The 25,074-nt window shown below is 39.7% G+C and overlaps 1 protein-coding gene across 4 annotated transcripts in view, besides 3 other annotated features; it reads left to right on the top strand.

The window, feature by feature from the left end:
• PHLDB2 (pleckstrin homology like domain family B member 2) overlaps window positions 1-25,074 on the top strand; it is a 244,022-nt gene that overhangs the window by 164,370 nt on the left and 54,578 nt on the right. For all 4 annotated transcript variants that reach the window (NM_001134437.2, NM_145753.2, NM_001134438.2 and 1 more), the window contains 3 exons: window positions 16,454-16,837; window positions 22,207-22,350; window positions 23,417-23,554. In NM_001134437.2, coding sequence (NP_001127909.1) covers window positions 16,454-16,837; window positions 22,207-22,350; window positions 23,417-23,554 — 666 coding nt within the window. The remainder of the gene's footprint in view (window positions 1-16,453; window positions 16,838-22,206; window positions 22,351-23,416; window positions 23,555-25,074) is intronic.
• Window positions 22,001-23,200: an enhancer, noted in NCBI's record as "BRD4-independent group 4 enhancer chr3:111637713-111638912 (GRCh37/hg19 assembly coordinates)". NCBI's record gives its function as "activates an origin of replication core promoter dependent on BRD2, P300/CBP, MED14 and CDK7 cofactors, and independent of BRD4, by STARR-seq in HCT116 cells {active_cell/tissue: HCT116}" and the evidence as "EXISTENCE:reporter gene assay evidence [ECO:0000049][PMID:35650434]".
• Window positions 22,001-23,274: a biological region, named in NCBI's record as "BRD4-independent group 4 enhancer GRCh37_chr3:111637713-111638912".
• Window positions 22,714-23,274: an enhancer, noted in NCBI's record as "OCT4-NANOG hESC enhancer chr3:111638426-111638986 (GRCh37/hg19 assembly coordinates)". NCBI's record gives its function as "activates a minimal SCP1, AML or CMV promoter by ChIP-STARR-seq in naive H9 embryonic stem cells {active_cell/tissue: H9 hESC(naive)}" and the evidence as "EXISTENCE:reporter gene assay evidence [ECO:0000049][PMID:30033119]".

The raw sequence follows: 25,074 nt of genomic DNA on the forward strand, positions 1-25,074 counted from the left end.
CACTTAAACAAAATAATCTCTTTATGTTGAATAATCGGAGATTCACAAGCAATCATAGGACGTAATTCAAAGGGATCCTGTGTATCCTTTACCCAGTTTCCTCCAATGGTAACATCTTGCCAAACTATAGGACAATGTCAGAGCTAGGATATTGACATTGATACAGTGAAGATACAGAACAGTTCTAACACCACAACGGTCTCTCATGTTGGCCTTTTATAGCCATACCAGCTTCCCTTCTCCTTAACCCCCATAACCACTGATTTCTTCTCCATTTCTATAATTTTATCATTTCACAATATAACCATATAGCATGTAACCTGTGGGTTTGGCTTTGTTCACTCAGCAGAGTTCTGTGGAAATTGGGCAGGTTGTTGCAGTCACTGGTTCATCAGGTTTAAGACTAGGATACATGAGGCAAAGGGAAATCCCAGAGACACACTTCTGTGTGTTTCGTTGGGTCCCCAGTCTGCCTTTTTCCACCTTTCAGAGTCTTCTGTTTTTTTCCCCATATAATGTACAGGGTTCTGAGTTATACTTAGTGGGAGAAATAGGGTAAAGTATGTCTAATTCATCTTCCCTGAAGCTGAAGTCAGTGAGATTAGTTTCCTAAAGTTGCAAATAGCCAAAAGCTTTGCTCTGGTGAAGTCTAATGACTGCAGGTTGAAAATTTTTGGTTTGGATAAATTGGTATTTCTTATTCAAAATTGCTAAGACCATATCCCAGCTCTGGGGTTGTAATTTGGATTTTGAGAAAAGACAGAATTTTAGGAAAATGCTGAGTAGAATTAAGAGGAACAAATTTCTCATATGGTGATTATTCTTTCATTCTGATTATAGAATAACAAGCTGAAGCTATGAAAGGTCATCTTTTCCATCAGATCACGAAGACCAAGGCTTAAATCATCTTAGGCAGAGATTTCAATTTACAAGTTGTCTTGGGAGAAAGGAAAATATTCAGGCATACCTCTGAGATATTGTGGGTTTGGTTCCAGACCACCGCAAGAAGGCGAACATCATAATAAAGCAAGTGACGCAAATTTTTTGGTTTCCCAGTGCATATTAAAGTTATGTTTACACTATACTGTAATATATTAAGTATGCAACAGCATTATGTATAAAAATGTACATACCTTAATTTAAAAATACTTTATTGCTTAAAAAAATACTAACAATTATATGAGCCTTCAGTGAGTTGTAATCTTTTTGCTAGTGGAGGGTTTTGTCTTGATGTTGATGGCTGCTGACTGAACAAGCTGGTGGTTCTTGAAGGTTGGAGTGGCTGTGGCAATTTCTTTGTGTGTGTGTGTGTGTGTTTGTGTGTGTGTGTGTGTGTGTGTGTCTTGCTCTGTCTCCCAGGCTGGAGTGCAGTGGTGTGATCTTGGCTCACTGCTGCACCTCTGCCTCCTGACATCAAGTGATTCTCTTGCTTCAGCCTCCCAAGCAGCTGGGATTACAGGCACCAGCCACCACACCCAGCTATTTTTTTACATTTTTGGTAGAGACACGGTTTCACCATGTTGGCCAGGCTCGTCTCGAACTCCTGATCTCAAGTGACCCGCCCACCTCAGCCTTCCAAAGTGCTGGGATTACAGGTGTGAGCCACCGCACCCAGCCAGCAATTTTTTAAAATAAGATAACAATGAAGTTTGTCACATTGATTCAACTCTTCCTTTCACAAAAGATTCCTCTGCAGCATGCAACGCTGTTTGGTTGCGCTTTACCCACAGTAGAACTTTTTTCAGAATTGGAATCAGTCCTCTCAGTCCCTGCCACTGCTTTATCAATTAAGCTCATGTAATATTCTAAATCCTTTGTTGTCATTTCAAAAACGTTAACAGCACCTTTACCAGGAGTAGTTTCCATCTCGAGAAACCATTTTCTTCACTCATCCATATGAAGCAATTCCTCATCAGTTCAAGTTTTATCATGAGATTTCAGCAATTCATTCACATCTTCAGGTTCCACATTTAGTTATAGTTCTTTTGCTGTTTCTATCACATCTGCAGTTACTTCTTCCACTGAAGTCTTAAACCCCTCAAAGTCATCCATAAGGACTGGAATCAACTTCTTCCAAACTCTCGTTCATGTTGATAAAAATGTCAATACCTCCTCTTCTGAACCAAAATGTATTTAATGGCATCGAAACTGGTGAATTCTTTCCAGGTGGTTTTTTGATTGGCTTTGCTCAGCTCTATCAGCAGAATCACTACCTATGGCAACTATAGCCTTACAGAGTATATGTTTAAAATAAAAAGACTTGAAAGCCAAAATTACCCCATGGGATGTAAAATGGATATTGTGTTATCAGGCATGAAAACAACCTTTATTTTCCTTGTGAATCTTTATCAGAGCTCTTGAGTGACTAGGTGTGTTGTCAGGGAGCAGTAATTTTATTCATATATTTTTAAATTTATTTTAAGTTCTGGGATACATGTGTATAATGTGCAGAATTATTACATAGGTAAACATATGCCATGATGGTTTGCTGCACCTATCAACCCATCACCTAGGTATTAAGCCTGGCATGCATTTAGCTATTTTTCCTGATGCTCTCCCCCACTTCCCCCAAGCAGTAATATTTTTAAAGGAATTTTTTTTCCCCTGAGCAGTAGATCTGAACAGTGGGCTTAAAATACTCAGTAAACCATGGTAGAAACAGATGTGGTGTCATCTAGGCTTTGTTGGCGCCACTTACAGAGCACAGGCAAAATAGATTTAGCATAATTCTTAAGGGCCTTGGTATTTTTGGAATGGTCAATGAGCATTGGTTTCAACTTAAAGTTAGCAGCTGACTTTAGCTCCTAAAAACAGAGTCAACCTATCCTTTGAAGATTTGAAGCCAGGCATTGACTTCTGTCTAGCTTTGTAAGTCCTAGATGGCATCTTCTTCCAATATAAAGCTGTTTTGTCTACGTTGTTTGTTTGTTGATTGATTAATTGTGGCCCAGGCTGGTGTTGAGCTCCCGGCCTCAAGTGATCCTCTCGCCTAGGCCTCCCAAAGTGCTGGGATTACAGGAGTGAGCCACTGGCCCAGCTGAAAACCTGCTGTTTCATGTAACCACCTTCATCAATTATCTTAGATCTTTCCAATTGACTTGCTGCACCTTCTACTTCAGCATATTCTGTTTCACTTTGCACTTTTATGTTATGGAGACAATGTCTTTCCTTAAACCTCATGACCCAGCCTCTGCTAGTTACAGATTTTTCTTCTGCAGCTTCTTCACCTCATTTAGCCTTCATAGAACTGAAGAGAGTTAGGGCCTTGCTCTGGATTAGGCTGTGGCCTAAGGAAGTGTTTGATCTATTTTGACCACTAAAACTTTCTTTACATCAGCAGTAAGGCTGTTTCACTTTCTTATCATTTGTGCGTGAAGAATCACCTTTAATTTCCTTCAAGAACTTCTCTTTTGCATTTACAACTTGGCTAATTGGTACAAGAGAGCTCACTTTTGGCCTATCTCATTTTTGGCATGCCTTTCTCTCAAAGCTTAATCGTTTCTAGCTTTTGCTTTAAAGTGTGAGATCTGTAACTCTTTCAGTTGAACACTTAGAGGCTATCAAAAGGTTATTAATTGGCCTAATTTCAATATTGTGTCTTAGGGAATGGGAGGCCTGAAGAGAGGGAGAGAGACAGGGAAATGGCCTGTTGATGGAGCGGTTAGAACAAGTACAACATTTATTAATTAAGTTTGCTGTCTTATATGGGCATGGTTTGTGGTGTCCAAAACTATTACAATAGTAATGTCAAAGATCACTGATCAGATCATCATAACAGATATGATGATAATGAAAAAGTTTGAAATATTGTAAGAATTACCAGAATGTGACGCAGAGACATGAAGTGAGCACATACTATTGGAAAAATGTGCTAATAGACTTGCTCGCTGCAGGGTTTCCACAAATCACTTTGTAAAAAATGTACTATCTGCAGAGCGCAATAAAGCAAAATGCAGTAAAATGAGATATGCCTGTAGTTACTTTCTTAACACTATTCTCAGATTTAGAAAGAAGACATGCCATTGTTTGTTTTGCTTTTTTTTTCTTTTTTATAGAAATGGGGTCTCTCTATGTTGATGAGGCTGGCTTCAAGCGATCCTCCTGCCTCAGCCTCCTGATGTGCTGGGATCACAGGCGTGAGCCACTGTGCCCAGCCCTCTTTTGCATTTCTCTACATAAAACTTTGTGACATGCTTTTAAAATTTTAACACAGGCCAGGCTTGGTGGCTCATGCCTGTCATCCTAGCAATTTGGGAGGCCGAGGCGGGCGAATCACGAGGTCAGGAGATTGAGACCATCCTGGCTAACACGGTGAAACCCCATCTCTACTAAAAATACAAAAAAATTAGCCAGACGTGGTGGCACATGCCTGTGGTCCCAGCTACTCAGGAGGCTGAGGCAGGAAAATCACTTGAACCCGGATGCTGGAGGTTGCAGTGAGCCAAGATCGCACCATTGCACTCCAGTCTGGGTGACAGAGTGAGACTCTGTCTCAAAAAAAAAAAAAAAATTAACACATAATATTTTTATGTGATATGACTCAAAAATAATTGTATTATAGTACTTTCAGTTGTTATGTTATAGTCTACTGTCGTTTTTTTACATGCAGACTTTCCTAGTTCTTTACCCACTGGTTTCTTTATGCATTAAAAAAAATCTTATTTTTTAAAGGATAGGATATGTTTTCAAACATCAGGATTTAAAGGTCTTTATACCTCTCATATACTTATTTTGATTGAACTAAAGTATTTTAATGGATTGTGTTTTATAGACTATAGTCTTTCAGAAGAAGCAAACAAGATCTTCTGGAACTTGATCAAGCTAAAGTGAAAATGTAAAGAGATGACAGTATGATTAGATTTTGTTGTGTTTTCTTTAATGGTGAAGAGCAATAGCATAATTTCTTTAACAGAATGGGCTCAGGCACTGTGCAGACTTCCTTCTGGAACACTGTCTATGTAAGAAAAACATCTGGCATGTTTTACATAGATGCTGTATGGAAATTATGATGATACGGATCACATGAATTTCTTTGACTTATGGCCGGTTTTTTTCAGTCAATAGGGAGAAATACACTGTTTTCTCCTTTGAATATTTTGGAGTCATTCATAATGGGCATTTTCTTTAAAATGATATATTTTTGTCTTTTAAGAATAGTTCACCTCCAACCTTAATATTTTTTAAAAGTAAAACATTTCATAACCCACCCATCTGCTGGTTGATTTTAAGTAGAAAGTGCAAAAAGTCATCAGGAAAAGGTCTAAAATATAGAGGATCCTAGATAAATGGTAATTGTGGTCAGAGATTTACTTGCATCTGCCTAACAAAATGCTGAGGTGGAAAAAACAAGTCAGGAAAACGTCATTGGCCAAAAAGTTAATAGGATTAATTAAATCAAGTTATATTACTTAAGAATGTGTTTAATGTAAATGAAAATCAAAATAGGCTGGGCATGGTAGCTCATGCCTGTAAATGCCAGCACTTTGGGAGGCCAAGGTGGGAGGATCACTTGAGCCCAGGAGATTGAGGCTACAGTGAGCCATGATCACATTATTGCACTGTAGCCTGGGTGACAGTGCAAGACGCTGTCTCAAAAAGGAAGAAAATAAAAATAAATAAACATTACTTTAGCATATGTTAGTAATTAAATATGTACTTAATTTATATCTATTTTTAAAGTACAAATAAAACAGGCACATAGCCAGAAATAGTAGTAGAGGCAAGTGGGTTTGAGGGAAATGTTGACACAGGCAAGTAACAGTAAATATTTATTCAGTTTTTTTTTTCTTTGAGGCGGGGGTCTCCCTCTGTCACCCAGGCTGGAGTGCAGTGGTGTGGTCACAGTTCAGTGCAACCTCCGCCTCCCCAGCTCAAGTAGTCCTCCTGCCTTGGCCTCCTGAGTAGCTGGGACTACAGGCGTGAGCCACCATGCTCAGCTAATTTTTGTATTTTCTGTAGAGATGGCATTTCACCATGTTGCCCAGGCTAGTCTCTAACTCCTGGCCTCAAGTGATCCCCTACCTTGGCCTCCCAAAGTGCTGGGATTATCGGTGTGAGCCACCAGTCCTGGCAATTTATTCAGTTTTTATTTTATTTATTTTTTAATTGGAAAGCTACCAAACCACAATAGGTTTAGAGAGACTTCTGAGTAATCATAATTTTTATTTGTATTTTTTTTTGTGATAGTAATTTTTAAAAACACAGGTGAGGAATTGGTTCATGAGATAAGATTAAAAGAACTAAATTTCTTCTTCTAAGTATGAGTAAGGCAGGATATGAGAAAGTTCCTCAGGTATTTGAATGATGCATGCCTTCAGTAAGGGGGGGACACCCGTTTCTCTGAAGTTTAGGGTGGAGCCAGGGCAATGTGAAGAGAAGCCTGGGTTTTATGTCAAGGGTGAAGTATGTGTCCTTAATAAGACAATGGATTTTTTGGAGGGTAGTTCTTTCTAGAAGCAACTCCACTATACTTAATGTGTTGCTCTGTAGTGGTGAGCGTGGGAGGACCAAATGACAAGATGCCTTTCTCCCCAGGTTACTATGGCAACTGGGCAGAGCTCTGTTGCCAGGGGCAGAGGCAGGTGGACCACAGGGCAGGGAGTTGGTGGCCTTGAGGGAATTTTGTGTCCTTCTAGATAGCCAAAGAAACCCCACAGATTTTTCAGGGAGACATTTGGCTGCATAACAACGTATTTTTCCTGTATTTCCTTTCCCTGAAAATAATTGGGTCTAGTTTTTAGGCGTGCTTGTTAATCAGTATTAGAGATGGTTCTTCAGAGTCTACAAGATAATTATCTAGTTCACTTCACGCTTTTGACAGAAACCGTCCTAACCATGACTGACAAAGAGTGAGCACCTACTACAAGACTGGCACCACCTTTAGACTTGAAAGCACATAGTCTATCACATGTTCGCACACACATTTCTTTACTGAATTCTTCCAAGATCCCAAGGGGAGGCACTAATCTACTCATCTCTGTTTTATAGACCATGTAATTGAGGCTTGAAAGGTTGAACTTGATTAAAAAAAATAATAACTGTGTTATAGGTCTGATAAGTGCCAGAACTTCAAATCCAACTCTATGTTCTTTCTACTTAAGCTGAAATACAGATTCTGCTCTTCAAGTCCAGCTGGACACAGTGGCCCACACCTGTAATCCCAGCACTTTTGGGAGGCCGAGGCGGGCAGATCACTTGAGGTGAGGAGTTCGAGACCAGCCTGGCCAACATGGCAAAACCCCATTTCTACTAAAAATACAAAAATTAGTCAGGTGTGGTGGCAGGCACCTATAATCCCAGCTACTCGGGAGGCTGAGGTGGGAGAATTGCTTGGACCCAAGAGGTGGGGGTTGCAATGAGCCAAGATTGCAACACTGCACTATAGCCTGGGTGACAGAGTGAGACCCTGTCTCAAAAAAAAAAAAGGCCAAGGGTTCTGTGGAGGTAAGAAGTCAATTTATTCCACAAATCATTAAAATATAAGATGACAGAGAGGTACTGAGCCTCCTGTAGTCCTGATATCTTTATTTTTAAGCACTTCGCCTATTTCTGGTCATTTTACTCCTAATTTTCCTGGGGAAAGTGTGAAATGCCCCTTCTCATTCGGGATGTCCAGTCTGCATAAAGGCAGGAGCATGCTGCCCCAGATTGCAAAGCTCTGGGAATGAGTGGAGATGGAAGTACTGAGCATTAGCAGCTTCTTGGAGATTGGGAGTTTGGGTGTGGTGGGTGTGAAAGGGGAAGTAGGGAAGTAGAAAAGTAGATCTACTGGATAATCTGATCAAGATGGCTTTTTGTTTATTTTGAGGGGAGGGAGGGACTTGAGTACATTTTCAGACAGAGGAGAAGGAGTCAATAGAGAGGGAAAGGTGTAGGAGAAGGGATAATCAATAGAGCAAAACCACAGGACAGTGGGAACAAGGTGCAGTGGTGCAGGCAGAGGGCTTCCTCTTGGAAAGACTGAGAGACTCTCCTCAGATAACTGAGCTAATGCTTATGCTGTTTACTTTGTCCCAGACACCCTTCTAAGTGTCATAGATGAACAGTCATGCATTGCTTAATGATGGGAATGTGTTGCTGAGAAATGCATTGTTAGATGATTTCATCATCTTGCAAAAGTGTATTATGAAAGAGAACGGCAATGATTTTTCCTATTCACACTGGCCACTAGTTGCATGAGAGCGGGCCCTCTAATTAGGTTACTAAGTCTCTCTGTGCCTCACTTTCCTTATCTGTTAAATGGGGATTAGAATAAAACCACCCCCCACAAAGTCATGAAAATTAAAAATTAAAATACAGGTGGGGATTGTGTCTGGCACCCAGCAAGCACTCAGTGAGTTTTAGCTAACTGCTGTTGACTACTATTTTGTTCTGGGGATAGGTGGGAATCATTTAAAAGTGTAAGAATTCTAAAGTAGACAGTAACCCTTTCAGTTGGGGTCTGATGTAATGTGTCAAGAGATTGGCTTTCTGTTTTTTGTTTTTTTAAGTCATTTATTTATTTATTTATTTGAGACAGTGTCTCATTGTCACACAGGCTGGAGTGCAGTGGTGTGATCTCGGCTCACTGTAGTCTCTGCCTCCCAGGCTCAAGTGATCCTCCCACCTCAGCCTCCCAAGTAGCTGGGACTACAGGTGCGTGCCACCTCACCCAGCTAATTTTTGTATTTTTAGTAGAGACAGGGTTTCACCATGTTGGCCAGGCTGGTCTCGAACTCCTGTCCCCAAGTGATCCACCGCCTTGGTCTCCCAAAGTGCTGAGATTATAGGCGTGAGCCACCACACCCTACCTTAAAAGTCTGAGCTACCTTTGGGAGGGTCACCCCATGGGTAAGCTAGGGATTCCTCAACATGTTTTGCTGTAGGTTTGTTTATATCAGCATCGCAGCAAACACATGAGTAATATGTTGCAACATATTATGTTACAACAGCTATTATGTCATTAAAAAATAGGAATTTTTCAGCTCCATTATAATCTTTTTTTTTCCTTTACGTTTTTCAGGTTAGAGAATGGAAGATGACACCCATTATAATTTTATGGGACTACCTTTGTATATGTAGCACCTTGTTGACTGGAATGTCGTTATGTGTGCAGATATTTTATTTTGGTCAACGATGGACCACAAATATGATAGTGGTCCTATACAATTGTAATACCATATTTTTAGTGTACTTTCTATGTTTAGGTATGTTTAGATACACAAGTACTTACCATGGTGTTACAATTGCCTACAACGTTCAGTGCAGTAACATGCTTTGCAAGTTTGTAGCCTAGGCGCAATAAACTATTACAATATAGGCTAGGTGTGTAGTAGGCTAATACTATATAGGTTTGAGTAAGTACACCCTGATGTTTGCACAAAAATGAAATAGCCTAACCTTGCATTTCTTAGAACATATCCCCATTGTTAAGCAACACATAACTGTATACATTCATATATATAAATCCTCATGATAACCCAATAAGGTAGATATTCTAGTAATTCTGGTTTATACTTGAGGAAACTGAGACACAAAGAAGCTAAATAGCTTGGCCAGGGTCACACAGGTAGCTGCAGAACCCAGATTCAGACCTAAGTGGTCTGGCTCCAGAGTTCATGCATTTAGCCACTATAGTACATTGACGAAAGGAGGACTAGATGGACAAAGATAGAAGAGGGAAGTCTAGGGAATTTAAGCAGAATGGCCTTGGTCTCCTTAGGCAGTGTGTTTGTGTATGTAAGTGTATTGAGCATGTTTGAGAAAGGGTATTGAAAAATCAATGACTGGTAAATGCTGTCCTAGTTATTCACGTATGTCTCACTCTCAGTACAGTTATCTATTATTCTTTGGGAGAATAGGCATTAGCATACAAAATATCAATAGTAATCTGCACATAACAAATGTTGGTCAGTTAGTGGCTGTCACATTCTCCAATAACTTACAGTTGCCTCCAGAGCAGACACAGTCATACAAAGGCATTACACTTTTGTTTCCTCTTTCCAGCTCAGCCCTACTGATGGTGCACGCATACATGCACATGCTATTTAAACTAAGGGTGGCAGAGTAAAGTGTTTTCCTGACCACAAGCCTGAAGGCAGACTTCCCAGCCAGTGTATAAAATAAAATAATGTGTGGCTAAGAAGCTAGATATTGAACTGACTTCCATAAAGATAATTTGTAAAACCAAATGATAAAAACCCCTCACTTTTATATACAAATGAGATCATTTGTCCTAAACTGATAAAAACAATACTAAGGCAATGTTTGTGTAAATGTGAAAGCCAGTGAAAAGTCTGGAGAGCAGTGTCTCCACACAAGATTTTCCCCACATCTGACTCCAACCGCAAGTTCTGGGGTTTCCTAGACCACCCTCAGATTCGATAATTCACTAGAAAGACTCACAGAACCCATTGACAGCTATGATAAGCACAGTTACGATTCACTATAGGGAAAGGATACAGATAAAGATTAGCCAAAGAAAGACACACACGGGGCAGAGTCCAAAGAGTTCCAAAGGCAACACTTCCATGTCCTTTTCCTGTAGGTCAGAAAGTGTTACTCTACCAGCATTAAGCATTGGTAGGTGATAGTGTGCACATGACAGGGAGGCTTACCCAAGCTGTAGTACCCACAGGTTTTTTGTTTGTTTGTTTGTTTGTTTGTTTTTTGAGAGAGAGTCTTGCTTTGTTGCCCAAGTTGGAGTGTAGTAGCACGACTGGGCTCACTGCAACCTTTGCCTCCTGGGTTCAAGCAATTCTCCTTTCTCACCCTCCCAAGTAGCTGGGACTACAGGTGCCCACCACCGCTCCCAGCTGATTTTTGTATTTTTAGTAGATACAGGGTTTAACCATATTAGGCTGGTCTAAAACTCCTGACCTCTGGTGATCCACACGCCTCAACCTTCCAAAGTTTGGGGATTACAGGTGTGAGCCACCGTGGTCAGCTATTTTTTTCTGTTTTGTTTTTTTGAGACAGGGTCTCCCTCTGTCTCTCAGGCTGGAGTGCAGTGGTGCTATATCAGCTCATTGCAACCTCCGCCTCCTGGACTCAAGTGATCCTCCAGCCTTAGCCTTCCAAGTAGCTGAGAATACAGGCATGAGCCACCACGCCCAGGTAATTTTTGCATTTTTTGTAGAGATGGGGTTTTGCCATAGTTTTTATTGAGACTTCATCACATAAGCATTACTGATTGATCAGTTTCCCACATGGTTAATTTCAGTCTCCAGCTTGGCTGATAACCCATGACTTAAGGCTCCCACACTAAATCACATAATTGGTCTTTCTGGAGTGGCCAGCTTATACCCTAAGATTATCACATGTGGCCCACTCTACCCTAAACAAAGACACTGCAGCTGAGTATGACATAGATAATCTCCCAGAAGCCAATGGCAAAGGTCAGACCTCTCTTTGGGCGAAGACAAATTATTTATTACCCAATAAGTAACTGAGCTTTCTTTAGTAGGATCCCTGAGTCCCTCATCTCTAAGTTTTGGAAAAGTGTTCTGCCTGAAATTGCACATGGTTTATTAGTCATAATGTAGAAGTCCATTAGTAAAATTTAAAAAAAACTCCAAGTCTTAAATACAGGTCTGTTTCTTTCTTACACTCCAGGACTAGTGTGGGTTAAAAGAGGCCTCTGCTCCACGTTTCCTGATGGAGCCAACACCTGCAGCCAATCTGGAGAGCCACTCTGCCATGTTAGAGCAAGGCATGTGATGAATTATGCCCTGGCTGTTGTTCATGCAGAAGTGATACACCTTGCTTTTCACACTTCATTGGCCGGTACAAGTCTGAGGGCCATATCCAGTTTGAGGGTGAGGAAGAGAGGAGCCATCTTACCCTGTGTCCAGAAAGAGGTGAACTGATTGTAATAGCCCAGTTACTACCCTCAAGGATTTATCTCTAAAACAGACAGACCCGTATAACAGACTTTGAGCCATTGCTTCTGTTTTCCCTCCTTTCTGTCATTACCTAATTGAAACATCAGGATTTGTACATGGAATCCTGGGAAGTCTGCATACCTGCTGTCAGCACCAGCTTTTCTCATTCTACCACTCACTCAGACCAGGGTTCCTGACTCTTGTGGTTTCCAAAACTTACTTTAGGGCTGTTGTAATCCCTAAGAGGAAGAAATGTGACCCATTTTTGTGCAGGTACCTCATTCCTCTTCCCCCAAAAGACCCCATCTCTCTAGCCACATACTAGTTGCTGATCTCTGAGCATACCATGATATGCCACAGCTCTATGCCTTTGCTTCTGTGGTGCTTTTATGGAAATGCCCTGCCCACCCCACTGTCCCAGTAGAGCAGACAGACTCATATTTATCCTTGAGGACTCAAATTTGTTTTTCTGTAATTTTTGTGTACTGTTTACCCATCTGTGAACTCATAGGTGGTCTATAAACTTCTGTTATCACTGCTTTTATAAGTGATCACCTATTTGTGCCTCCTATTAAAGGTTTGAGGGTAGAAATGCTATGCTTTGCTATGTGCAGTGTCTCATGTGAGAGGCCAAGGTGAGAGGAAGATTGCTTGAGTCCAGGAGCTTGAGACCAGCCTGTGCAACATAGCAAGATGCCATCTTTCTTCCAAAAAATTAAAAAATTAACTGGGCAAGTTTGCATGCCTGGAGTCCCCGCTACTCTGGAGGCTGAGGTGGGAGGATCCCTTGAGCCCAGGAGATCGAGGCTTGCAGTGAGCTATGAGTGCACCACTGTGCTCCAGCCTGGGTGACATTGACAGACTTTGTCTCAGGAAAAAAAGAAAAAAATTTTCATCTTGCCATCTTTTTTCATTTATGGATCCCCAGCACGTTACTAGACAATAAGTAAGTTAGTAGACCTTTGTTGAACTGAAGATTATGGAGACATTGAAGTCCTGGGGCTAATAGAAGAGAGAAGTCAAGTCACACCAGTTATAATAGGTCCTCCTAAAAAAAAAAAAAATCCCATTTCAACTAAATTATATCTAAAAATTAAAGGTTGACCTTTTGTTTTAAGTAATACATGACCCAATATACTGGTTATAACAAAAGGTTTTTAGCAAAGATTACACCTGTGCTTAAGTGTCAGCAGTTGGTTTTCTGCATAATGTATGTATTTATGCAGTATGTGTACCGTCCTGTGACCTACACTGGTTGGTGTTAGTTACAAGGGCCCTTGGATGGGTTTAGGAGATGGATGTACCCTCTCCTGAGGGCTGTGAATCTGCAGTGGGAACAATGTCAGACACAGTCCTCTGAAGATGGAAAAAAGCTCAGAGGTCAAAAAACATACCCCTAGCCCATCACCATTTTTTCCCCTTTAACCTCTAAGTGAAAAATTGCACACAATTTTCTTTACGTATACTTTCTAAAATCTTGTGTCTCCTTCAACACTTCCTTTGATATATGTGGGAGATCAAGATGAAGAAAAGGAGAAATGGGAATGGCGAAAAAAATAAAAAATATATGTAAAATAATTTTATTCAAGATGACCTACTTTCTAAATTCTTAGCACTGATATTTTGGAGCATTAAGGTATGTAGGCTCTGTACTTGGACTTTTCAAGAGAATGAACACTAGATTCCTAGTTTGGAAAGGTGGGTAGGATTTGGAAATCTCAGAGGGCAGCCAGCCTCTTGACTTATTAAATAGCAGGTTGTTAGGTGAAGCTTCAAAGAAAGTTTGGTTTTAAGTAGGGGGACAGACATCACAGTTTGCCAGGACCAACCCCAGTTTGCATTTGAGGTTCCAGCATAATTATTAACAGTGCCCTCTTTGATTCTTGAGAGGTTCTGGTCTGGAATGGTCATTCTGGATTTGGGTCATGCAGGTTGCAGGCTATTGGCATGATGAATGGGAAGGAAGAAGACTCCAGAGTGCAGAAGGCTGAAGGGAGAATTATCTTATGACAGTAATTTCTGTTCAGAGTTTTCCTTAAAAGGCTTCCTGTAGTGCTTTCTGAAATGCCTTACAGACTTTCTTCTGATGCACCTTGGACATCAGTTTATTTTTCTTTAGTGCAGCTTTTATAGGGCCAGTGTGTCTCAGTGCAACCTGGTTTTCTTTTAAACTCGTGGGCAGCAGTGCTGCATGTGTCAGTGATTCAAACTTGAACAGATTGGCTGTGAATGGGGTGATAAGAATAGAGAGAAACACATACCAGTAGACCAAACTTCCTGTTCACAAGCCTTTGAATACTGCGTTTCACTGTCTGAAATAGCATTCATCTTAAGGCTGGGATCATTTATTCCCTTTGGAATTAAGCAATACCACTGCAGAAAAAGAAACTATTTTGGGAAGGCCATGTGGGAGGAATTTTTCTCTGTATTCCAGGCTGAACAGAAATATCTTTCATGCTTTTGAACACCACACCTTAGAGCCCAGGTAATTGGAAATGGACAACTTTCAGATAATCCCAAATATTTATGCCAAGGCTAATGTATACATGTTATACTACAAAGATTAGGAAAGACTTGAGTTTAGATGCTTCAACTTAATTACCTAAGTGGCAGAAAAAGAACTTTCCTTCAGAGATTCGCCTCTAATATAGATGCTATTGAGAAGTAAAATGTAACATCTTGTCCCTCTCCCTCTCCTTACATATGCTCTTGGAGGTTGTTTTTGCATATGCCCATGTAGACTTTTCCAGATTGTTGGAGAAGTTTAAAATAAGGCAATGAAGGCTATGTCCCCCCTGCTTCCTCCCTATAAAGCTGAGGTGGGCAGGGCTTGGCAGCTGGTGGAAACTGAAGAGATAAATAAGTACCAGGGCTCCTGGATGGATAGGGTGCAGAAGAGCCCAAGATGAGAGTGTGTAGCTATGAGTGCCTGCCGTGGGAAGAGGCCATGAGGACGGAGCTGCAGCTGGAGTCCAGAAGTTCAGGCAGTGAAAGGGAGGTGCGAGCTTGTAGGAACTAGTTTATTAGTCCTTTTGATCAAGCTATTGCTCTTTTGTTTTTTTTGTTGGGGGATTACTTTAGAGGGCAAATGTAAGTCAGATACACCTTAAATATCTGTCTTGTCATTTGAGTAATGTATTTAATGGAACCTAAGGAGTTATGTTGGTCTGTTCCTATTTGACTTTTCTACTTGTTAATAGCATCAACTAATAAAGAGCTAATTGTCTTGTAAAGTTTGTCTTTACAAATTAGCTGCAATTGAAATGAGAACAGCAGTCCAGTGATGCTTAATATTTTTCTGCTTTATTGCTGATAAGCAGTTTGGAAAATGTTTTTCTATGGAGAGCGTGTGAAGCCTCTTCTCAGTGTGGTAAATGTGATCACAATAGATGGTTTTTGTTTTTAGTTCTTTTTTCACTTTGGCCTTGGAATTAACATGAAAGGTAAAGATGTTGAGATTTCCTACCTCAAGCAATGCTGTCTAGGTTTATGAGAAGCAGAGAAGCATTTTGTAAATTATATCCTGTTGCTCACAAACTGTATAATTAACCTACTTAAAGTTCAAAATCATAGATATCTGCCTGTTGCATGGGGAGTCTGGTAAGATTGCAGTACTCTTATAGATATCAATGGCCTATGTATTGATTTTTAACAAATAAATTTTATTTTCTAGCTAAATTAATCAAAGATTTAATGACCTATGAATTTGAGTTACATCGGTGTGTATCTGGACTTCATGTGAAATGTTCTTCATTTTAGTGCAACATTCTATCTCTTTTATAATTTTAATTATATAAGAAATTAGTAGAGAAAGACCTTTATATGGTGACCAGGCATTAAAAAGTTTAGAAAATTTTCAAAATTTTCAAGAAAAAAAAATTGAAGACATAGGTCTTTTAAATTAAAAGATTCAGTAAGTAGCTGTTTTTCTCTTTGTGTGTCTAGCACATAGTCTAACAGTAGGATAATATTTAGGAAGTTAGAGAATTAGTTTTAAGCACAAGTATTAAGTCAGTAGTGATGAAAAAGCTAGATATTGTTGAAGGTAGATAAGTAGAGCCTGGGAAGGAGGATAGATAGGAAATGGAGGTTTAAAAAAAATGAATTTGGTGCAATGGCATGTGCCTGTAATCTCAGCAACTTTTGGGAGGCTGAGGCAGGAGGATCACTGGACCCCAGGAGTTAAATAAAGTGAGCTATGATTGTGCCACTGCACTCCAGCCTTTGGGACAGAGTAAGACCTTGTCTTTCTCCCTAACCCCACCCTTCAGAAACCTTGGAGAATTTATAAGTTATGAAAAGGCTTACTGAGTGCTGATGTGTGCTAGGGCCAGCCCTGTGATATACCAATAAAGGGGAGAGAGTAGAAGCCAGAATTGAGTTTGGGAGGAAAGTTGGGCATTGTTAAACCCCATTTCACCTGGATCTTTAAATGCATCCGTCAAAGATTATGAAAATCATCACCAGCCAAGTGTTTGTGGGTTTATGTATGGAATGCAAGCACCAGTTGTCCCAGCCTCTTCAGTCTTTTTATTTGGAGTAGTATTCATTCTCACAAACCCACTGACCTCCCCCTCCTCCCTGTGTTCCAGGAGAGACAGCGTCTGGAGACCATCCTCAGTCTCTGTGCTGAATACACAAAGCCTGACAGTCGCTTATCTACTGGGACCACCGTGGAAGATGTGCAGAAAATCAACAAGGAGCTTGAGAAGCTGCAGCTCTCTGATGAGGAGTCTGTGTTTGAGGAAGCCCTCATGAGCCCTGACACAAGATACAGGTGCCACCGGAAAGACTCCCTCCCTGATGCAGACTTGGCAAGCTGTGGGAGTCTCAGTCAGAGCAGTGCCAGCTTCTTTACCCCCAGGAGCACCAGGAATGATGAACTACTCAGTGACCTCACCCGGACTCCTCCACCACCATCCTCCACCTTTCCGAAAGCTTCCAGCGAGTCCTCTTATCTAAGTATCCTACCAAAGGTAATGTTGGCCCAGCAAAGATACTAGGATTTAAGGTCTAGGGCTGTGCATATGCTTTGGCATGAAAACTGATGATTTTATCATGCTAATTATCCAGGATGTTTTCAGTGAAATTTCAATTTAAGAGGTCATTAGCTGAGCGAGGTGCAGCAAATTAGGGTGTTTACTGTAAAGTAACAAATTTGCACTGTAAAAATTGTAGCAGCACAGAAGAGTAGAAAGAAAGCACATTTCTCTTCTCCCTGCACCCTTTCAGGTTGTACACCTGAGTGATAAGCAGGTGTAAAACTGGTGCTAAAATTGTCTTACCTGCCTTCCTAATATTTTCTGTGTATATATGGCTATCTGTTATAGGCATAGACAGACAGACACACACATAGTGTTCTGTACTTTTTTTCCCTCACTAAATGCCTTGGGTATCTTTGCATATTAGTATACATAGCTCTACCTCATTCTTTTTAATGACCAATTGCTCTTCTTTTGTTTGCAACTACCGTTTATTTTCAGGGTTTTTTTTTTTTTGCTAATAAAATCCATATGCGCAAATATTGTAGCATATATATATTTGCACAATTCTGCAAATGTGTCTGTGGGATCACTTACTAAAAGTGGAATTGCTGGGTCAAAGAGTTTGTGTATTTTTCACTTTACTCAATATTTCCAAATCGTACTTCTAAAAGACCATATTAAAAAAAGAGTCTATATATCCAGGTGACACTTTGACTAAGTTTATATGTGCATATAAACACAAGTGTTCTCCATACACTTGCCAAGGTTGCATATTGTCAAAATTTTTCAATTAGCCAAATTGATAGAAGTTTAATTTGCTTTTCTTTAATTATACATCAAGTTGGGGATCTTTCCATATTTTTAGTTATTATTTGTATTTTTTGACCCACTTATTCATGTTCTTCACCCATTTTTTTAATTGTTTTATTTTTCTTGTGTTTTACTGAGTAGTAAGAGCTGTTTGTGGTAAGCAGATGAGCCTTTTATCATAACTAGTCTTTATTTTGACTTTATTTGTATTTTTTCGGCATATAGGAGTTTAAGATTTATTGGTACTCATAAGTACTATTTAGTCTTCTGGTTGTATGTTGGTTTAAAATTGTCATCCTTTTGAGGATTTGTTAAATGGAGTTTAAGGAAAAATCTTTTAAATTTTTTTTTCTTTTTCTTTTTGTACAGGACTTAGAACCCCAAAATCTTTTGTTATTACGTTTTTTTCACACAGGTTAAGAATTTTTTTCTACAACAATTTAGGTTTTAAATTTCTCCAAAAATGATTTGAAGGAGCTTACAATGAAAGATATAAATTTTATTGGACTAAAATTAGAATAACAAAAATAGTAAATAGGAGGAAAAAGCAGATATGATATTCACAAGGTAGATTTACTTATTTAGGAATAAGTAGGATTAATGTATTGATTTGCTTAATTGATGCTTACTATTAAGTTCAACTGTGAGATTCTTTAGTTAATCTTTTGTTATAAGAGAAGGACACATTGACTCTTTAAGAGGAAGATATTGTCATGGTACTAAATTCTGGCAGTAATTTATCACATGGGCATTATTCAGGGGAGTTTGCGTGTTTGTTTAGCTACAGCAAGACTTTTACACTGAATGTTCCTAGTCAGAAATCATTATCTACCTAGTGAGTTTTTCCATGATACACATCAGGACTTCGGACTGTTGAATACATGTTGGACATCAATCCCTTCTTTTTTCTTTCTTTCTTTTTTTTTGAGACAGAGTCTTGCTCTGTCACCCAGGCTGGAGTGCAGTGGTGCAATCTAGGCTCACTGCAACCTCTGCCTTCCGGGTTCAAGCGAATCTCCTGCCTCAGCCTCCCGAGTAGCGGTGACTACAGGCACACGCCACCATGCCTGGCTAATTTTTGTATTTTTAGTAGAGACAAGGTTTCACCCTGTTGGCTAGGCCAGTCTCGAACTCCTGACCTCAAGTGATCTGCCTGCCTCGGCCTCCCAAAGTGCTGGGATGACAAGGGTGCGCCACTGAGCCCTACCCATCCCTTCTTTTTGCTATAGTGACCATGTTTACCTTACTAATTCTCAATGGAGACTAATTCTGAACAGGACATCTGTTTCTGTGGGCAGAGAGTTGCAATGATTAGAAACCAGGATAGGGAAGAAAGTAGGGGCAGGGGGAATCAAAAGTTGTTGTTCAGGCACAGTAAATGACCCATCACTTGAAAAGTTGAGCTGTTGTCATCAGCCATTGGGCTTCCTTAGAAACCCTTTGCTTCCTTTTGATCTTAAATCTTTTCACATATCTTCCTTTATGGAGATCTGCCAGTTTTTTGTTAAAAACATTAAGCTGTGTGCTGTCTCTAAAGACTATCTTTTGGGAGACAGGTTTCCTCCTGGAGAGGGCTATGACAAGAATGCTGTTGGTGCGTACACGAGCAGATCTTGGCAGATGTTTTTAATTGCTCAAGCGTGTAATTGTGGAATAGGAGGCCTCTGAAGCTTAGTGCAGCATCTGTTGTTGCAAGAGAGGTAAGACTCTGCATCCTTTAGAGGCAGGAAACATCAAGGACACCCAGGTTACCAGACAGCAGTGTAGAAAGAGTACAAGTGAGCAGAGCTGATGGATTCCAAGAAACACATTTTTTTACTTATTACTTTCTGAAGGTGGACATATATTACCTTGAGACAGCAGACAGAAAATTCTTTTTAAAACAACCTTCCTATTTGTTTTGCATGCTCTTTCTCTTCAATTAATTTCCACACTGGATTATTTGCCTAACAAAGTACAATGTTAATAATCGATTTAGGGATAAATGGAGAAGAGAGGAATGTGAAAAACACTGTAAGTTGACTTAACTATACAGAACAATCTTAATGATATTTAGAAAACCTGAGAGTTACCAGTCAAGAACTTGCTTTATGTAACACTTACAGATGCAGATGACTTTGGAAATATGCTAATTTTAGTTGGCCTTTGTGAACCACCCCCTGAGGTAAAAGTTGTCTGGAAAGTGGCTCATCTTCCTCCTTTTGAGTCCCTTGCACCCCTCTCTCCTTTGGCTGCAAAAAGGGTTTTAAGAAGAAATCTGTGAAAAAGGGGCAAGCAGAAAGTGTCTTTTCCCCTATCATCTCTCCCCTTTCCTGTGTGGATCAAGTTTCCCCAAAGATAACATATTAGAGGATGCATATACACACGTAATGTGCTTATTAAAACATGTCACTGTTAGTAGATTCCTGTCCATTACTGGAAAAAAAAATTCCCAGAGAAATTAAAATGAAGGGCATATGTTTAAAATTACAATGTTCTCTGTCACTGTAAAACTTAAAGCTACTCAGTGGCTACCACACCTTGGCTTTCTATTGGTTTTCTTTATTTGGTTAATAAATGAGATTACATTGTCCTCACCCCATTCTATCATAAAGCGTTTGGTTTTAGAATGCTTCCTGGAGATTTTGCTTCTTATAAATAACTTAGAAAAAAACTACAAACATTTCCTAGATGGCATTTATTGCTATAAACAGACTCTTAAGTTGTCTATTATTAAATATATCTACTGTGATAAACTTTCTAAAAACTTTGAATTATGCAGATGATTCCCACTATTAACCATCTTTACTCCCTACTTGCTTATAAAGTTTAGAGTTTTGCAGATTGTTCTGTTATTTTGTATTTTTCTTAATGCCTTGCTTCCACCTGTGAAAGAGATATTTTTAAGCCATTTTGGAAGTAGAAACCTAATATGTAATCTTGACCCAACAGGATACCGCCCTTGGTGAGGCTTTCCTGCTAGGATTACTCACAGTGATTCTGGAATGCCATTTCACTGTTACAGGCATTCCTCATGGCTTAAAACAGGCACCTTAGTATTAGGACAATGAGCTTTATTGTCTGTGATAAAAAGGTCAACAGTTGTTTTATTAGTTGATAAGATATTTCATGTAAGATGACAATTAAAAAGCTAAATGTCAAAGCTTGGAAGAGCTGCTTACCTTTGTCCTAACAAACCTGAGGTACTAAATGCTGAATCGTTGAATCACTTTAGAAAGCTACAAAGTAAAGAATAAAGAATATAAATATGAATAAAGCATACAGAATATGACATGATGGATGGCTTCTTAAATGTATTATCAGGATTGTCAAATAAATTTAGTGAACCTAGTAAAATATACTCAACTTAATGGGTTTTTTGGGGGGTTAATTTGAAGATTTTTTTTAATAATTAGTGACAAATATTCAATAATTTACTCAACTGGGCTGCTGTTTTCAATTTTCATTTGTGAAACTGTATAATTATTGACTTGCTGATCCAAAAAAATTACTTCTTTTTCAAAAAGGGATAATTTAAATAAATAATACATTCATACTGACATATAGTATATATAGAAAAATTGGTCTCTACCAGGTGATATCCAAGATAACTAACCAGAAATTCTAGAAAGAAGAAGCTATTTGTAATTCACTCCATTCTCTTCTTGAAGAATAAACAGTCACATTTTGACTGTGTGTGTGATCTACAATATTGCCTTCTTCCCTGGCCATCTGTCATAGCTCCATTCAGGAGTGTAACTATGCACTCTCTCACTTGTTTCTTGACTTTCTTATTTCTTGCCGATGAACCAGTTTTTCCATGAAATAATTTTATGAATGGTGGCCAGTGTCCTGTTTTAGGGAGTGTCTTAGATGCTATATAGCAAGAACGTCTATAGGACAAAGAGAGGAAATAGTGCACTAACACAAAAGTGAAGCATCAATTAATTTAATACTGAGTGTGTAGTTTTAAAATATTTTATGGCTCCCCAAAGTGATGTGCCCTTGCTTTTCCAACTTGTGTTGAGAAGGAAATACATAAGCATGAATGCTCATTTGCAGGTAACCCTAGCAGCAAGACCCAACAGTATGCCTAGAGATTCAAGAGGCTTTTGCAGATGTCCTCACCTGGAAGATGGGAGAGAATATTGTGCTTGTAATAACCATAGCATCATGCCCAAGAGATCCCGAGGAAGATGCCACAAGTCTTCTGTCAGTTCTAGTTCTCTGTTATGCTGAACTTTCTCTATAACCTTGGAGAAGTCATCTCAATCTCTATATACCACACCTTTCTTATCTGTGTAATCTCTTAGTTCTTTTAGCTTCAAAAGGATATGAATTGGTGAACTGAAGTTGGTTTGTCTCAACTCTCCTGAGAGCCTAACTGCCAAGGATGGCATCATGTGGGAAAAACACATCAGAGCTCCAAGCGTGCAGTTGCAGGGATGCTTTTAAAATCTACATGGGCATGGAGACTGTGAGACCCTAGACCTGTGGATGGTTTACAAGTCAAGTTGGGAAATTCTAGAACTGAGGTGTGAATAATCCATTTCTGTGTTGATTAATCGCAGACCCCAGAGGGTATAAGTGAAGAACAGAGATCTCAGGAGTTGGCTGCAATGGAAGAAACCCGGATAGTCATTCTGAACAACCTCGAGGAACTTAAGCAAAAAATCAAAGACATAAATGATCAGATGGATGAGTCTTTCAGAGAGGTAAACTTTTTACCCTCTTCCCTTTTTTCTTTCTTTCCTTCAGCTTAAAAATATTGCTACTTATTCAGGAATAGGCTTTGGAGGCCAGATACATAGACGTCAACACAAGCAAACATTTATTCAGTGGGTTCCCTGTATAGAGTGAAAATACCCTTTTTCTACATTCCTTTTTTCTTTCTTTTTTTTTCCAACCAGATGAGATAAACATATTAAGCCCTCTTTAATGTACTTTATGAATCTCCAACCAACTTTGTTTAAACTAGTACGTGCTTTCTGACCTGACCTAACAGAGGATCTATCAGCTGAGGTGCTCTGTATTTAGATTTCAAGGTCAAATCCAGCAAATGTTTTCTGAACGTGCTTTACTATGAGTTGGATATCACATTGGCACCATGATGAAATTCACACACGGATCAAAAATCGATCCAGGTTTCTAGAGGTTTGGAAACCAGGGGGAAGCAGAGAGAACACATATTGCATAACCACAATAGAAGACAGTGGCATTTTTATGTTACCCCCATGGCATGAGAAGGGGCACGTAATTCTGCCTAGGGAAGATCTGTGTGTCTGTCCTTACAGATGATACCAATAGGCCCTTAAGTGGTTAGGGGACTGCTCACCTGTTGTCTTGCGTAGAGACGCTGGAAGCCCCTCCTGCTAGCATTGCGAGGAATGCAGAGCTCACATGCTGGGCTTGGGTAACTTTCTCTTCCCATGCTCTAGGGACAAAGAAAGACGTGGCTGCTCCCATGGTGGTTTGTGCTTGATCTTGAGCTGAAGCAAATAGGCAAAATATCCTTGAGAAGTGAGCAGAAGAGGGGTTATAGTAGAAAAGTTAAGTGATAAGATAGCTAGTTTTTTTAGTGAATATATTCTAGGCTCTCTAGCTCGCTTATATGGGAATCTTGCTTTCACATGGGCTCTCTGGAGTGTTCTCAGGCACCCGATCTGGCTGCTACAGTATTACTTTTGGAAATTTGTAGCTGTTGCAAATGTATCTCTAGGGTGGTCAGTTGAGAATATCCCCAAAGGTGAAACACTTCTGAGCTTTGGTTTGTGTCCTTAGTTGGATATGGAATGTGCTCTTTTGGATGGAGAACAGAAATCTGAAACAACTGAACTTATGAAGGAGAAGGAGATTTTGGATCATCTAAACCGGAAAATAGCTGAACTGGAAAAGAACATTGTTGGTGAAAAGACCAAGGTAAAAGAAAATTATATTTCAATGCAGTTTTTATGGGCAAAGTGGTGGTCCCAGTTGATTGAATTTAAATGTTGAATGCATTACTGGGGTTTTGGATTTGTGTGTCATGTTCCTGGAGGCAGTGGCACTAGAGAAAAATCCTAAGATCATACATTGTCAGAAACCAAGAACTGCCAGGTACTGGGCAGCTGATGCTGAGAGAGCAGAGTTCATATAATTTGTGAGCCGATATTCCTGGCAGCTTTATCCTACTTGAGATGAGTGCGTTGTTTGTTTGCTTTTTTTCATTGGCCTTTCTGCTTTTCTGATTCCATTGTGTTTTTTAAGTAATTTCTTTAGTATACTGAAGTTCTTTACCACTGCTGCCCTGTAGGGATGGCTTAAGCAAATTCAAATAGGGTTGCCTCATTTCTTTTATTTCTTTTCATTTTTCTGTTTATTAAACAGATGAATGAGAACCACTCATCTCACCTGCTTTGCCTTGCTATTGTTTTCAATGCAAGTGCACTGCTTTTTGACAAATGTATTGGAGTTTCTAAAATTTTCTTCTTGGGGTAGTCCTCACACACTGCCAAGAGAAAGCTATCTGTGAAACACAGTTGACACTTATCTTGGAAAAGGTTCTGTGTATACATTTTGGATCACAACCTGAATGGTGGCTGATATCTATTAGGGAAAGTATGAAAAATCACTTGCAAATTTTAGAATTCAGGATGGTAGTTGGGTTTGTCTGTTTATGTGTTTTTTTCCTCTGGGAAATATACATTACTCTCCTCTCCCATTCTGAGTTAGTTAGAGCAGAACTAAAAATAAAATTCCAATAAAACTGAAAATAAAATTCCAATTTGAGAAAGAAAAAGCAAATAAGCTTTAACACATTCTTCCTTACTCAACATGTTCTCCACTAAGCTGAGAAAAAGAAAAAATTTTTAGTTTGAGTAAGTTCTAGTGGTAATGTGTAGAAAGAATTTCTGCTGAACGTGACTTCCTTTTTAGGCTCTTATTTGTTTAAGACCTATAAATAAGGGCATTTGATCTTGGTGCCAGAGAATGAGCTCAAAATGGTAGTCAGAAATAAAGTCAAATTAAATGCTACACATCAATTTCTTGGTTACCAGCATGTCAGAATTAAACTGCACAGGCTTTTCATATTAAATTTTATGTACGTTCATTCTGCCCCCAGACTTTTTTTTTTTTTTTTTGAAACGGAGTCTCACTCTGTCGCCCAGGCTGGAGTGCAGTGGCGCAATCTCAGCTCACTGCAAGCTCCGCCTCGCAGGTTCAGCCATTCTCCTGCCTCAGCCTCCCAAGTAGCTGGGACTACAGGCACCCGCCACCACACCCGGCTAATTTTTTGTATTTTCAGTAGAGACGGGGTTTCACCATGTTAGCCAGGATGGTCTCGATCTCCTGACCTCGTGATCCGCCCACCTCAGCCTCCCAAAGTGCTGGGATTACAGGCGTGAGCCGCCGCGCCCGGCCCAAACTTTTAAGTAGTATTTGGGTAGTGGGTGTATTTT

This window comes from Homo sapiens, chromosome 3 (genome assembly GCF_000001405.40).
Source record: "Homo sapiens chromosome 3, GRCh38.p14 Primary Assembly".
Classification (NCBI taxonomy): domain Eukaryota; kingdom Metazoa; phylum Chordata; class Mammalia; order Primates; family Hominidae; genus Homo; species Homo sapiens.